The 14,961-nt window shown below is 41.1% G+C and overlaps 1 protein-coding gene across 1 annotated transcript; it reads left to right on the top strand.

Annotated features, from left to right (window-relative positions):
- Positions 1 to 7,196: 7,196 nt before the first annotated feature.
- Positions 7,197 to 13,412, top strand: TAF1L (TATA-box binding protein associated factor 1 like). The gene has a single exon (NM_153809.2). The coding sequence runs from the start codon at positions 7,287 to 7,289 to the stop codon at positions 12,765 to 12,767; it is 5,481 nt and encodes a 1,826-aa protein (NP_722516.1). The 5' UTR covers positions 7,197 to 7,286; the 3' UTR covers positions 12,768 to 13,412.
- Positions 13,413 to 14,961: the final 1,549 nt, after the last annotated feature.

The following is a 14,961-nucleotide window of genomic DNA, read 5'->3' as shown; positions in this document are numbered from 1 at the left end:
ATAGAAAAGAACAAGATCATGTTTTTTGCAGGAACATGGATGGAGCCGGAGGCAATTATCCTTAGGAAACTAATGCAGCAACAGAAAACCAAATACTGCATGTTCTCACTTACAAGTGGTAGCTAAACGATGAGAATTTATGAACACAAAGAAGGGAACAACAGATGCTGTACACTGTAGTCTACCTGAGAGTGAAGGGTGGGAGGAGGGAGAAGAGCAGAAAAAATAACTATTGGGTAATAGCTTAATGCATGGGTGATGAAATAATTTGTACAACAAACCCCTGTGACACATTTACCTATATAACAAACCTTCACATGTACCCCAAAACCTAAAATAAAAGTTATAAAAAAGAAAAACCAACAATGTTCTCCTTTCCCATGACTCTCATTCCCACTATCATTCCTTCCTCAAAACAAGAAATGGCAGTTTAATGTTTATATTTTTTCTATGTTCATATGAATGCACTCAAAAATATTCACACCATAAAATGCTTTTTCTTATTTAAAAAAATAAAAAATGAAAATGAAACAATTTCTAATTTTAACTATCCTAAGTAGTTTAAACATATTTAATGTCATATTAAAATTTTTAAATTGAACGACATCAGGAAATCATTTTGATGAAAGAAAATTGAATTTCCCATTCTGTATGATAACTAAAAAATAAATGTTTTCTGTGGAGAAAATAAATTATGTTTAAAACAAAGACTGAAAGAACTAATTGGATATATATATATAAAATTTAGAAATAATTAAAGTACTTAAGGTTTTATTAATGTGTTATTATTTGGGAAAATGTTTCAGAATTTGTAGACATGCAAGCTTGTTTGTATTCTTTGAAGATTCCAAATGTTTCTTTTGTTTTGTATAAGAGCTCAAAAGTTACCTAATACCCACCTGCCACCATATCATCATATATGAAAGTATTTGATGAAATATGAAAAAATGAAAAATAAAAAATAATCTAGAAGTCAAAGGGTACAAAGCTATTTCTGAGACTAAAGAAATAATACTGCAAATAAAGTGACAAACTGTTGAGCATTTTTCACGGCAGGGGTGGGGAGATACTTCTGTCTATCAAGTTGATACCAAAGAAGGCTGTTATTTGCTGTTGCCCAGAGGGTCCCATTATAATTCTTTTTCTTAAATTTTACTCAAAAGAACAAATGTCATTTTAATGCCAATGTTTTCAAATGCTGTTTATTCCTTAGATTTACTTTTCTAAAATTTGGCCTCACTATTGCTCAATCCATGGCTTTACTTGCACTTTCAGCAACTGTTGGTTGACAACACCCCCTCCCCTCCCCTCCCCTCCCCTCCCGTTCCCTCCCCTCCTATCCTGTCCCCTCCCTTCCCCTCCTGTCCCCTCCCCTTCCCTTCCCTTTTCTTTGAGACGGAGTCTCTCGCACTGTCGCCCAGGCTGGAGTGCAGTGGCACGATCTCAGCTCACTGAAAGCTCCGCCTCCTGGGTTCACACCATTCTCCTGCCTCAGCCTCCCAAGTAGCTGGGACTACAGGTGCCTGCCACCACGCCCGGCTAATTTTTTTTTTGTATTTTTAGTAGAGACAGGGTTTCACTGTAGCCAGGATGGTCTTGATCTCTTGACCTCGTGATCTGCCCGCCTTGGCCTCCCAAAGTGCTGGGATTACAGGCGTGAGCCACTGCCCCCGGCCAGACCACGCTTCATTTTTTAATCACTTTCTTCACTTGGCTTGAAGCATCACTTTCTCTTCGTTCTCCTTCTATGCCACTGGCTGTTCAGGTCCTTCTTATCTACTGATTGCTGAGTATTAGAACACTGCAGAGTTTAGCCCTAAAATCTTTTTATTTCTTTGTCTTTACTTACTCCTTAGGTAACACCATTCACAGTCCCTAAGCTTTGAAAGCATTTATATACCAATGAGCCTCAAATTTATAATTCTAGCCCTGACCTATTTTCCTAACTTGTAGACTTGTACTCGGCCTCTACTGAAATCTCCAGTTGAAATCTATCTAATAGGGAATCTTAAAATTAACCTGTCCAAAATCAAACTCCTGACTCTCCACTAACATCCCCCATGTCTCTGCTGTTGTCTTCTCTTTATACAGTCTTCTACATCTCAGGAAATGGTTTCTCTGTCCGTCTAGTTGCCCAGGCTAAAACCTTATCTCCTGTCTTTCTCTGACACCACATATCCAGTTCATCAGTAAATCCTGTTGACTTTACCTTCAAAATACTATGTATTAAAAATCTGAACACTTTCACCACCTCTGTTGCTACTATCTTGGTCCATGCTTCCGTCGTATCTCACTCTCTCACCAGAATTATTTTAATAACTTCCCAGCTGGACCCACTTCTTCTTTTACCTCATTACAATCAGTTTTCAACATAGAGGCCAGAGTTATCTATTTCAAATGCAGGTAAGATCAAGTCATTCTTTTGCTCAAAACTTTTAATGGCTCCTTCTTTCACTCACAGTAAAATTCTGAAACAGTAATGACCTGCAAGGCCCTATATAATTTTGCCCTCAGCTACCCCCTCACCTCATCATTTTATCTCTTGCCACCTACCCTCTTGCACACACACTGCCCCCAAAGTTACATAGAACAATTACCTCTCTCACTTTTCATAGCTATTCACTCAAATGTCATAATTTCAGAAGGATCTTCCCTGACAACTTTTTCCCTCACCCATGGCATTCCTATCTCCCTTATTCTGCCTTAGTTTTCGCAATAGCACTTATCACCACCTGACATAATATGTATTTACTTGTTTATTTATTTTTGGTCTCCCCCATTAAGATATTAGCCCATATTCCAGATTCCAGGGCTAGCAGAGCAGATGATTTCAATCAAATCTCCCACTTGAAGACAATTTTAAAAGTGGAACAAAACACACACACAGACACACACTTTCTTACAAACATTAGAATCTAACAAGATAGTAAGGAATTAAGACAACAATTAGAGCTCAAAGAGGTGAAACAACATCTCTTTGGAAAGGAGGATTTGCTGATAGTTAAAAGGAAGCTGAGGCAGAGCTTCACTGAGATCTTGGGAAATCACCCACTGTGTATCCTGGAACCACAAGGCCTGCCATTTTGGCTTTGAGGCTTTTTGGCAATGGACTGGAAGCAGCAGACACAGAGCTAAGCTTTTGATTACTCAGATGCATGCAAGTTTAGGAACTGGTGTTCATCTCCCTCAAAGACAGAGGCCCTAATATAGTATCTTTTGCTCTGGCTTGAGACAAAGACTGCAACCTGGAAGCATGGTTTATGGATTTTACTCTAGCCTGCCAAACCCTCAAATATTGGTTCCAGACTGCTAATATACTCAGGTGTCTTAAAGGTGAAAAAAAGTAAAATCCTTTGTGAAGGAAAATAACACCATCCTGGGTCTCAAACTATCAATAAATATAATTTTAATTTTTTTACCAAGCTATGAAAGACTATAATGCAAAATGAGACTCAAGACAAATCAAGCCAGAACTAAGGAAAACAGTGGACAACAAAAACAAGAGCTACAAGAGTCCAAATACCAGAATTATCAGACGGATGTTGTAAAACAACAGTACTAATATGCTCATGGATATAAATGCTTTGTTTAAAAATATCAGTGCAGTCATAGAAACCATAAGAGGTGACCTTGTAAAACTAAAAAAGAACCAACTAGAAATTATAAAATTGAAAAATACAATAGGTAAAATGAAGAGCTGAATGGATGGGTTTAACAGAGGATTACATAAAATTGAAGAAAAAAATTGTAAACTGGAAGCTGGGTCAGAGAAAAATATACAGAATGAAACCTAAAGAAAATTTTTAAAAGGGAAAGTACAGAATATTGACTAAGAAACATAGAGGATAAAGTAAGGTCTAACATTCACATAACTGGAGTATAAAAAAGAAAAAGATAAAATGGAGCAGGGGCAATATTTTAAGAGATAATGTCAAAGAATTTCAGAGAACTAATGAAAGACATTCAATTTTACTATTTAATAAGCCTAAAGGGTCAAATGAAGCTAAAAGAATAAAAAGAGAAATTTGCCTCCAGGCCAGGCACAGTGGCTCATGCCTGTAATCCCTGCACTTTGGGAGGCCGAGGTGGACAGAGTACTTGAGGTCAGGAATTCGAGACCAGCCTGGCATGGTGGCACATGCCTGTGGTCCCAGCTACTAGGGAGGCTGAGGCAGGAGAACTGCTTGAACCCCGTGGGTGAAGGTTGCAGTGAGCCAAGATTGTACCACTGCACTCCAGCCTGGGTGACAGAGTGAGACTCTGTCTAAAAACAAAAAAAGAAAAGAAAGAAAGAAAAAAAAGAAAATAAATCTGCCTCCAGAAACATGTAGTGAAACTGTAGAAAATGAAATGCAAGGAGAAAATCTTAAATATAACAAAAGGAAAAGGACAGATTACCAACAAAAAAGCACCAATCTGATCAACAGCTGATGCGAAAAGCCAGTACAAGTGAAAACCAGAGGTCAATGGAAAGATAACTTCATGATATTGAAAGAAATAAAAAACTACCAACATAGACTTCTTTGTCCAGAGAACAAATATTTTAATAAGAAAGGTAAAATATACAGTGATATGAAAAAATAAGTGATGAACTGGCAAAATACTTTCAATTTATATTACAGAAAGGGTAAATATCCCTAACATATTAAAATCTTATTTAAAAAGAGGAGAAAGGACTAACAACCTTAGAAAAATGAATAAGAGATATGAACAAATACACAGGAAAAATAAATGCAAATTCCCCTTGGTTGAAAAGATACTCCATGTCATCCATGATAAGATAAATGAAATTAAAACTACAGCGAGATACTGTCTTATACCTATGAGATCAGCAAAAATTCAAAAATTTGACAGCATGCTATGTTGTTGAGGCTTGGGGAAACTGTCCCTCTCATTCATTGCTGTTAGGAATGAAAAATGGTTCAACAACTAAGGAATAGAACTTGGCAAATACCGATGAAATAATATCTGCATTTACTCTTTGACCCACTAGTCCCTCTTGCAGGAATCTATCCCAAAGATGTGCTGACCAAAAAAAAAAAAAAAAAAAAAAAAAGGATGCATACATAAGACTTTTCACTGCAGCACTGTGTGAAATAGCAAAGCCTGGAAACAACTCAAATACCTGTCAATGGGTGGCTGGTATACTCACCCAAGTGATAACTCTACAGTTATCAAAAATAAGAAGGAATCTCTTTATAAACTACTACAGAGTAATCTCCAAGATATATTTTTAAGCAAGAAAAGCAAGGTGGAAAAGTAAATACTATTGGTTATCTAAAAGGAAGAGATAAAAACATGCATACACAATTGATAGTATTTAAAAATAGAATGATAAATAATAACACTTTAAATATGATTACTTATAGAGGATTACATAAACAACCACCCAAGATAATCTGCAATCAAATTGTGAAAATCATTAAGACAGTTGACTAGACTAGTCCCAGCTACTTGGGGAGGCTGAGGCAGAAGAATCACTTGAACCTGGAGACAGAGGTTGCAGTGAGCCAAGATCGCGCCACTGCACTCCAGCCTGGGCAACAGAGCAAGACTGTCTCAAAAAAAAAAAAAAAGCATAAAGGAAAAATTTGATAAGATTGAAATTTTAAAATATATATTAAAGACACCATTAAAATAGATTAAAAGACATGTCACAGACTGGGGAAGTTATTTGCAAGCAAATCCATAATATATGAAGAACTGTTATACATTAAAGAAAAGACAGATAACCTAAAGATACTATAAAAATTAGATAAAAATATATGAAAAGGCAATTGACAGAAGAGGAAAAACAGTTGGTCAATAAGTGTATGAAAAGTTAGCCTTCAGTAGCAATCAGAAAAATACAAATTAAAACCACATTATCATTATACATTTATTAGAAATGAACAAAAATTAACAAATGACAATGCTAAGTGTTAGAATGGATGTGGAGAGGTGAGAACTTTTATACACTGCTGTTAGGTATGTAAAATGGTACAACTACTTTGGAGAACAATTTAGTAATAGCAAGTGTAGTTGAAAAAGCATATATTGTAAAATCTAGTAATTCCACTCCTAGATGTATACCCTGGAGAATGTGTCCTACATATGCTCAAGGAATCATATACATTATTTATAAGAGGAACAATTTGGGAACAATTTAAATGAACAAACATAGGAACATAGATAAATTGTAGCATAACCATACTGTAGAACACTATAGAGCTATAAAAATAGAATTGAATGCATCAACATAGTTGAATATCATAAACATAAATTTTATCCAGAAAACATTCTGGCTAAGAGTACATACAGTAAGGTCGGGTTTGGTGGCTCTTGCCTGTAATCTCAGCACTTTGGGAGGCCAAAGTGGGAGGATTGCTTGAGGCCAGGAGGAGTTTAAGACCAGCTTGGCTAACATAGTGAGATCCCATCTCTTAAAAAAAAGGAAGGGGGAAAAAAAAAACGAGTACACACAGTAAGATGCCTTTTATACAAAATTGTAAAGCATGACAATGCTATAGATTATTTGGAGAAGCATACATATGCAGTTCATGTATAAAGAGATTTACAGAGGCTGGGTGCAGTGGCTCACGCCTGTAATCCCAGCACTTTCGGAGACAGAGACGGGCTGACCATCTGAGGTCAGGAGTTTAAGACTAGCCTGGCCAATATGGTGAAATCTTGTCTCCACTAAAAATACAAAAAATTAGCCAGGCATGGTGGCTCATGCCTGTAATCCCAGCTACTGTGGAGGCTGAGGCAGGAATCTCTTGAACTCCTGAGGTGGAGGTTTCAGTGAGCCGAGATTGTGCCACTGCACGCCAGCCTGGGGCGACAGAGCAAGACTTTGTCTCAAAAACCAGCAAACAGGCTGGGCGCGGTGGCTTACGCCTGTAATCCCAGCACTTTGGGAGGCCGAGGCAGGCGGTTCACGAGGTCAGGAGATCGAGAGGCTAACATGGTGAAACCCCGTCTCTACTGAAAATACAAAAAAAAAAAAATTAGCCAGGCGTGGTGGCGAGCGCCTGTAGTCCCAGCTACTCAGGAGGCTGAGGCAGGAGAATGGCGTGAACCCAGAAGGCAGAGCTTGCAGTGAGCCAAGATCGCGCCACTGCACTCCAGCCTGGGCGACGTTGCGAGACTCCGTCTCAAAAAAAAAAAAAAAAAAAAGTTTTGCGGGTTTTTCCCCCCGCCCCTTTGCCCCCTCCCCCCGCCTTTATTCAGCTTCCGGTAGACGCTGGTAGGGTAAGGGAGCTAAGTAGATCACTTCCGGGCGACTGTTGTTTTATTTCCGGTTTATGCGACCCGGCTGCGATTTGCTGCTGAGGGCAGCAGCTACCGTCACTGCCGCCATCATGTCAGACTCGGACAGCGAGGAAGATTCATCTGGAGGTGGCCCATTTACTTTAGCGGGTATCCTTTTCGGCAACATCAGTGGAGCGGGGCAGCTGGAGGGGGAAAGCGTCTTGGATGATGAGTGTAAGAAGCACTTGGCAGGCTTGGGGGCTTTGGGGCTGGGCAGCCTAATCACTGAACTCACGGCAAATGAAGAATTGACTGGGACTGGCGGTGCCTTGGTAAATGATGAAGGGTGGATTAGGAGTACAGAAGATGCTGTAGACTATTCAGACATCAATGAGGTGGCAGAAGATGAAAGCCAAAGACACCAGCAGACGATGGGGAGCTTGCAGCCCCTTTACCACTCGGATTATGATGAAGATGACTATGATGCTGATTGTGAAGACATTGATTGCAAGTTGATGCCTCCTCCACCTCCACCCCCGGGACCAATGAAGAAGGATAAGGACCAAGATGCTATTACCTGTGTGTCTGAAAGTGGAGAAGACATCATCTTGCCCTCCATCATTGCCCCTTCCTTTTTGGCCTCAGAGAAAGTGGATTTCAGTAGTTACTCTGATTCAGAATCTGAGATGGGACCTCAGGAAGCAACACAGGCAGAATCTGAGGATGGAAAGCTGACCCTTCCATTGGCTGGGATTATGCAGCATGATGCCACCAAGCTGTTGCCAAGTGTCACCGAACTTTTTCCAGAATTTCGACCTGGAAAAGTGTTACGCTTCCTACATCTTTTTGGACCAGGGAAGAATGTCCCATCTGTTTGGCGGAGTGCTCGGAGAAAGAGGAAGAAGCATCGTGAGCTGATACAGGAAGAGCAGATCCAGGAGGTGGAATGCTCAGTAGAATCAGAAGTCAGCCAGAAGTCTTTGTGGAACTATGACTATGCTCCACCACCACCCCCAGAGCAGTGTCTCGCTGATGATGAAATCACGATGATGGTTCCTGTGGAGTCCAAATTTTCCCAATCAACTGGAGATGTAGATAAAGTGACAGATACCAAACCAAGAGTGGCTGAGTGGCGTTATGGGCCTGCCCGACTGTGGTATGATATGCTGGGTGTCTCCGAAGATGGCAGTGGGTTTGACTATGGCTTCAAACTGAGAAAGACACAACATGAACCTGTGATAAAATCTAGAATGATGGAGGAATTTAGGAAACTTGAGGAAAGCAATGGCACTGATCTTCTGGCTGACGAAAACTTCCTGATGGTGACACAGCTGCATTGGGAGGATTCTATCATCTGGGATGGGGAGGATATCAAACACAAAGGGACAAAACCTCAGGGTGCAAGCCTGGCAGGCTGGCTTCCTTCTATTAAGACTAGGAATGTAATGGCTTACAATGTTCAGCAAGGTTTTGCACCCACTCTGGATGATGACAAACCTTGGTACTCCATTTTTCCCATTGACAATGAGGATCTGGTGTATGGACGCTGGGAGGACAATATCATTTGGGATGCTCAGGCCATGCCCCGGCTGTTGGAACCTCCTGTTTTGGCACTTGATCCCAATGATGAGAACCTCATTTTGGAAATTCCTGATGAGAAGGAAGAGGCCACCTCTAACTCCCCCTCCAAGGAGAGTAAGAAGGAATCATCTCTGAAGAAGAGTCGAATTCTCTTGGGCAAAACAGGTGTCATCAGGGAGGAACCACAGCAGAACATGTCTCAGCCAGAAGTGAAAGATCCATGGAATCTCTCCAATGATGAGTATTATTTCCCCAAGCAACAGGGTCTTCGGGGCACCTTTGGAGGGAATATTATCCAGCATTCAATTCCTGCTATGGAATTATGGCAGCCCTTCTTTCCCACCCACATGGGGCCCATCAAAATCCGGCAGTTCCATCGCCCACCTCTGAAAAAGTACTCATTTGGTGCACTCTCTCAGCCAGGTCCCCATTCAGTCCAACCTTTGCTAAAGCACATCAAAAAAAAGGCCAAGATGAGAGAACAAGAGAGGCAAGCCTCAGGTGGTGGAGAGTTGTTTTTTATGCGCACACCTCAGGATCTCACAGGCAAAGATGGAGATCTTATTCTTGCAGAATATAGTGAGGAAAATGGACCCTTAATGATGCAGGTTGGCATGGCAACCAAGATAAAGAACTATTATAAACGGAAACCTGGCAAAGATCCTGGAGCACCAGATTGTAAATATGGGGAAACTGTTTACTGCCATACATCTCCTTTCTTGGGCTCTCTCCATCCTGGCCAATTACTGCAGGCACTTGAGAACAACCTTTTTCGTGCTCCAGTGTATCTTCATAAGATGCCAGAAACTGATTTTCTGATCATTCGGACAAGACAGGGTTACTATATTCGGGAATTAGTGGATATTTTTGTGGTTGGCCAGCAGTGTCCCTTGTTTGAAGTTCCTGGGCCTAACTCCAGAAGGGCCAATATGCATATTCGAGACTTTCTACAGGTTTTTATTTACCGCCTTTTCTGGAAGAGTAAAGATCGGCCACGGAGGATACGAATGGAAGATATAAAAAAAGCCTTTCCTTCCCATTCAGAAAGCAGCATCCGGAAGAGGCTAAAGCTCTGCGCTGACTTCAAACGCACAGGGATGGATTCAAACTGGTGGGTGCTTAAGTCTGATTTTCGTTTACCAACGGAAGAAGAGATCAGAGCTAAGGTGTCACCAGAGCAGTGCTGTGCTTATTATAGCATGATAGCTGCAAAGCAACGACTGAAGGATGCTGGCTATGGTGAGAAATCCTTTTTTGCCCCAGAAGAAGAAAATGAGGAAGATTTCCAGATGAAGATTGATGATGAAGTTCACGCTGCTCCTTGGAACACCACAAGGGCCTTCATTGCTGCCATGAAGGGCAAGTGTCTCCTAGAGGTGACTGGGGTGGCAGATCCCACAGGGTGTGGTGAAGGATTCTCCTATGTGAAGATTCCAAATAAACCAACACAGCAGAAGGATGATAAAGAGCCACAGGCAGTGAAGAAGACAGTGACAGGAACAGATGCAGACCTTCGTCGCCTTTCCCTGAAAAATGCCAAGCAACTTCTACGTAAATTTGGTGTGCCTGAGGAAGAGATTAAAAAGTTGTCCCGCTGGGAAGTGATTGATGTGGTGCGCACAATGTCAACAGAACAGGCTCATTCTGGAGAGGGGCCCATGAGTAAATTTGCCCGTGGATCAAGGTTTTCTGTGGCTGAGCATCAAGAGCGTTACAAAGAGGAATGTCAGCGTATCTTTGACCTACAGAACAAGGTTCTGTCATCAACTGAGGTCTTATCAACTGACACAGACAGCATCTCAGCTGAAGATAGTGACTTTGAAGAAATGGGAAAGAACATTGAGAACATGTTGCAGAACAAGAAAACCAGCTCTCAGCTGTCACGTGAATGGGAGGAGCAGGAGCGGAAGGAACTACGGCGAATGCTACTGGTAGCAGGCTCAGCAGCATCAGGAAACAATCACAGAGATGATGTCACAGCTTCCATGACTAGCCTTAAGTCTTCTGCCACTGGACACTGTCTCAAGATTTATCGCACATTTCGAGATGAAGAGGGGAAAGAGTATGTTCGCTGTGAGACAGTCCGAAAACCAGCTGTCATTGATGCCTATGTGCGCATACGGACTACAAAAGATGAGAAATTCATTCAAAAATTTGCCCTTTTTGATGAAAAACATCGGGAAGAGATGCGGAAAGAACGGCGGAGGATTCAAGAGCAACTGAGGCGGCTTAAGCGGAACCAGGAAAAGGAGAAGCTTAAGGGTCCTCCTGAGAAGAAGCCCAAGAAAATGAAAGAGCGTCCTGACCTAAAACTGAAATGTGGGGCATGTGGTGCCATTGGACATATGAGGACTAACAAATTCTGCCCCCTCTATTATCAAACAAATGTGCCACCTTCGAAACCTGTTGCCATGACAGAAGAGCAGGAGGAGGAGTTGGAAAAGACAGTCATTCATAATGATAATGAAGAACTTATCAAGGTTGAAGGGACCAAAATTGTCTTCGGGAAACAGCTAATTGAGAATGTGCATGAGGTTCGCAGAAAATCTCTGGTTCTCAAGTTTCCTAAACAGCAGCTTCCTCCAAAGAAGAAACGGCGAGTTGGAACCACTGTTCATTGTGACTATTTGAATATACCTCATAAGTCCATCCACCGACGCCGCACAGACCCTATGGTGACGCTGTCATCCATCCTGGAGTCTATCATCAATGACATGAGAGATCTTCCAAATACACACCCTTTCCACACTCCAGTCAATGCAAAGGTTGTAAAGGACTACTACAAAATCATCACTCGGCCAATGGACCTACAAACACTCCGTGAAAATGTGCGTAAATGCCTCTACCCATCTCGGGAAGAGTTCAGAGAGCATCTGGAGCTAATTGTGAAAAACAGTGCGACCTACAATGGGCCAAAACATTCATTGACTCAGATCTCTCAATCCATGCTGGATCTCTGTGATGAAAAACTTAAAGAGAAAGAAGACAAATTAGCTCGCTTAGAGAAAGCTATCAACCCCTTGCTGGATGATGATGACCAAGTGGCATTTTCTTTCATTCTGGACAACATTGTCACCCAGAAAATGATGGCAGTTCCAGATTCTTGGCCATTTCATCACCCAGTTAATAAGAAGTTTGTTCCAGATTATTACAAAATGATTGTCAATCCAGTGGATTTAGAGACCATACGTAAGAACATCTCCAAGCACAAGTATCAGAGTCGGGAGAGTTTTCTAGATGATGTAAACCTTATTCTTGCCAACAGTGTTAAGTATAATGGACCTGAGAGTCAGTACACTAAGACTGCTCAGGAGATTGTGAACATCTGTTACCAGACAATTACTGAGTATGATGAGCATTTGACTCAACTTGAGAAGGATATTTGTACAGCTAAAGAAGCAGCTTTGGAGGAAGCAGAATTAGAAAGCCTGGACCCAATGACCCCAGGGCCCTACACATCTCAGCCTCCTGATATGTATGATACCAACACATCCCTCAGTACGTCTCGAGATGCCTCTGTATTTCAAGATGAGAGCAATTTGTCTGTCTTGGATATTTCCACTGCCACTCCAGAAAAACAGATGTGCCAGGGCCAAGGTAGGCTGGGTGAGGAAGACTCTGATGTGGATGTTGAAGGGTATGATGATGAGGAGGAGGATGGGAAACCTAAGCCTCCAGCCCCAGAAGGGGGAGATGGTGATCTTGCAGATGAAGAGGAAGGAACTGTACAACAACCTGAAGCCAGTGTCCTGTATGAGGATTTGCTTATATCTGAAGGAGAAGATGATGAGGAAGATGCTGGGAGTGACGAAGAAGGAGACAATCCTTTCTCTGCTATCCAGCTGAGTGAAAGTGGAAGTGACTCTGATGTGGGATATGGTGGAATAAGACCCAAACAACCCTTCATGCTTCAGCATGCTTCAGGAGAACACAAGGATGGGCACGGAAAATGAAGAAAGCATGATGTCCCATGAGGGAGACGGTGGGGAGGCTTCCCATGATTTGGAGGATAGCAACATCAGTTATGGGAGCTGTGAGGAGCCTGATCCCAAGTTGAACACCCAAGACACAAGCTTCAGCAGCATCGGAAATTTCCAGCTGGGCATGGTGGCTCACACCTGTAATCTCAGCACTCTGGGAGGCCGAGGCGGGTGGATCACCTGAGGTCAGTTCGAGACCAGCTTGGCCAACATGTCGAAACTTCATCTCTACTAAAAATACAAAAATTAGCCAGGTGTGGTGGTGCACGCCTGTAATCCCCAGATACTCGGGAGGCTGAAGCAGGAGAATTGCTTGAACCCGGGAGGCAGAGGTTGCAGTGAGTGGAGATCACGCCACTGCGCTCCAGCCTGGGCGAAAGAGTGAGACTCCATCTCAAAAAAAAAGAAAATTTCCAAGCATGGTATCATCTCACTTTTCTAATTTACAGGCTGGAACAGATGAGAGCCCTCCTGCTGGGACAGAGAATTGGGTTCTAGTGGACTCTGCTACACTTAAACCTATGTGACAAACCGCCCATTATTTTATTGTTTATTTAATTATACAATGCCTCGTTCCTATATGGATTTGAGGCAAATTACCATAAATTTTGAAACAGCCTATATGTCAGAAATGAAAATGTTGCCATCTAAATGTTTTCTGTCCCTCCCCACCAGGGGAAATGGTAGGAAAATGGTAAGTTTCTTAGGGCAAAGACTGTGTCTTGTGTTTCTTTTCATGCTTAGGATACGGTTCTGTGCATAGTAGGTACTCAGCAAATGTTCCTAGAATCATAAAACCCTCAACAGATATGTTACTGAGCATCTCCTTTTCACGATAAGCACTCTGTCAGATCCTTGGGATGCAAAGGTAAATAAGACAAATCCCTTTTACCCAAAGAGCTCACCATCGAGTTGGGGGAGGGGAAGTGGAATTCAAAACATGTTAATAAATCATTATAGTACTGTGAGATAAGTGCAATTAAGAAGCTAGCTGTAAAGTATAGGGGAAATAGAGGAGTAATTATGTCTGAAAAGTCAAGGAAGTCTTCCTGGAGATAATTTTTAAGCTGATTGTTTTAGAATTAGTAGAAGTTTGCCAGACGGAAAAGTCCAGGCAAAGTGTAACATGAATGGGAAAGGCCACAGTCTAGAAATGGCAGTGTGTTTCTAGTTTGTTTGTTTGTAACTGCCTTGTTCCAGGAAGGATTTAAGATGGTTTATATTCCAGTCCTTTAATGCTGGAATGGCTAGAGATGAGACTGAAAGATGGGCAGGAAGTATATCATCACAAGCTTTGCATTTGATGTTAATGTGTATGATTTTTATATTATGGGAAATAAGCTCTTAGAGGAGTGATGTAATCAGGTTTGTGTTTTAGAAATCTGTGTAACGTATGAATGAAGAAAGAAATTGAAGAATCATATATAACAGATGTATGTGATTCCATTTTTGTAAAACACAGAACCATGTGTGTTTATTTGTATGTGTTTTTATATATACTCTTGTATGCAAAGGTAAAAGTCTGAAAGGATATATGCTAACTGTTCACAATGATAACCCCCCAGGAATGGGATTGGAGGGGAGAGGGCTTCTGTGTTTGTTATGTATGCTGGGTGGGATATTGTGCTTTTATTTCGGTATTGTTTGAATTGTTTTACAAGTATGTATTATTTTTGTAACACATTTTTTAATTCCAAAAAAAAAGAGAGAGATGGAAATTCAGAAATGTGTGTAAACAGGGAATCTTCACTGTATTGATAATGTTTTATTTCTTAAGCTGGGTAGTGGGTACCTGGATTTTCATTATATTTTTCTCTATTTCTTTTAGCATATCTCAATATTTCGTAATAAATACTTTGTAATAAGTTTCACATGTACATAATATTAAATAAATTCTAGGAGTAGATATACCAAAATATTCATTGTGTTTATCTCTGAATAGTAGAAATGTATCTTTATTTTCTTTGTTTTGCATGCTTTCATTTTCTAATTTGTATTACTTTTATTTTAAAAACATCTTAAAACATAGAAGAATGCCACAACTACACAGAGCTTCTATAAGATCTTTCACATGTTACCCTTGCTGGTACATAAGACACCGCCAAACTAATGTTCTAACAGCCAGTCAATATTTTATCCCTTCTCTCTTATGCTGCCATTTTGGTCT

The sequence above is a fragment of the Homo sapiens genome, chromosome 9 (genome assembly GCF_000001405.40).
Source record: "Homo sapiens chromosome 9, GRCh38.p14 Primary Assembly".
Classification (NCBI taxonomy): domain Eukaryota; kingdom Metazoa; phylum Chordata; class Mammalia; order Primates; family Hominidae; genus Homo; species Homo sapiens.
The sequence above is the reverse complement of the archived record's forward strand: the minus strand, read 5'-3'. Positions and strand labels throughout refer to the sequence as shown.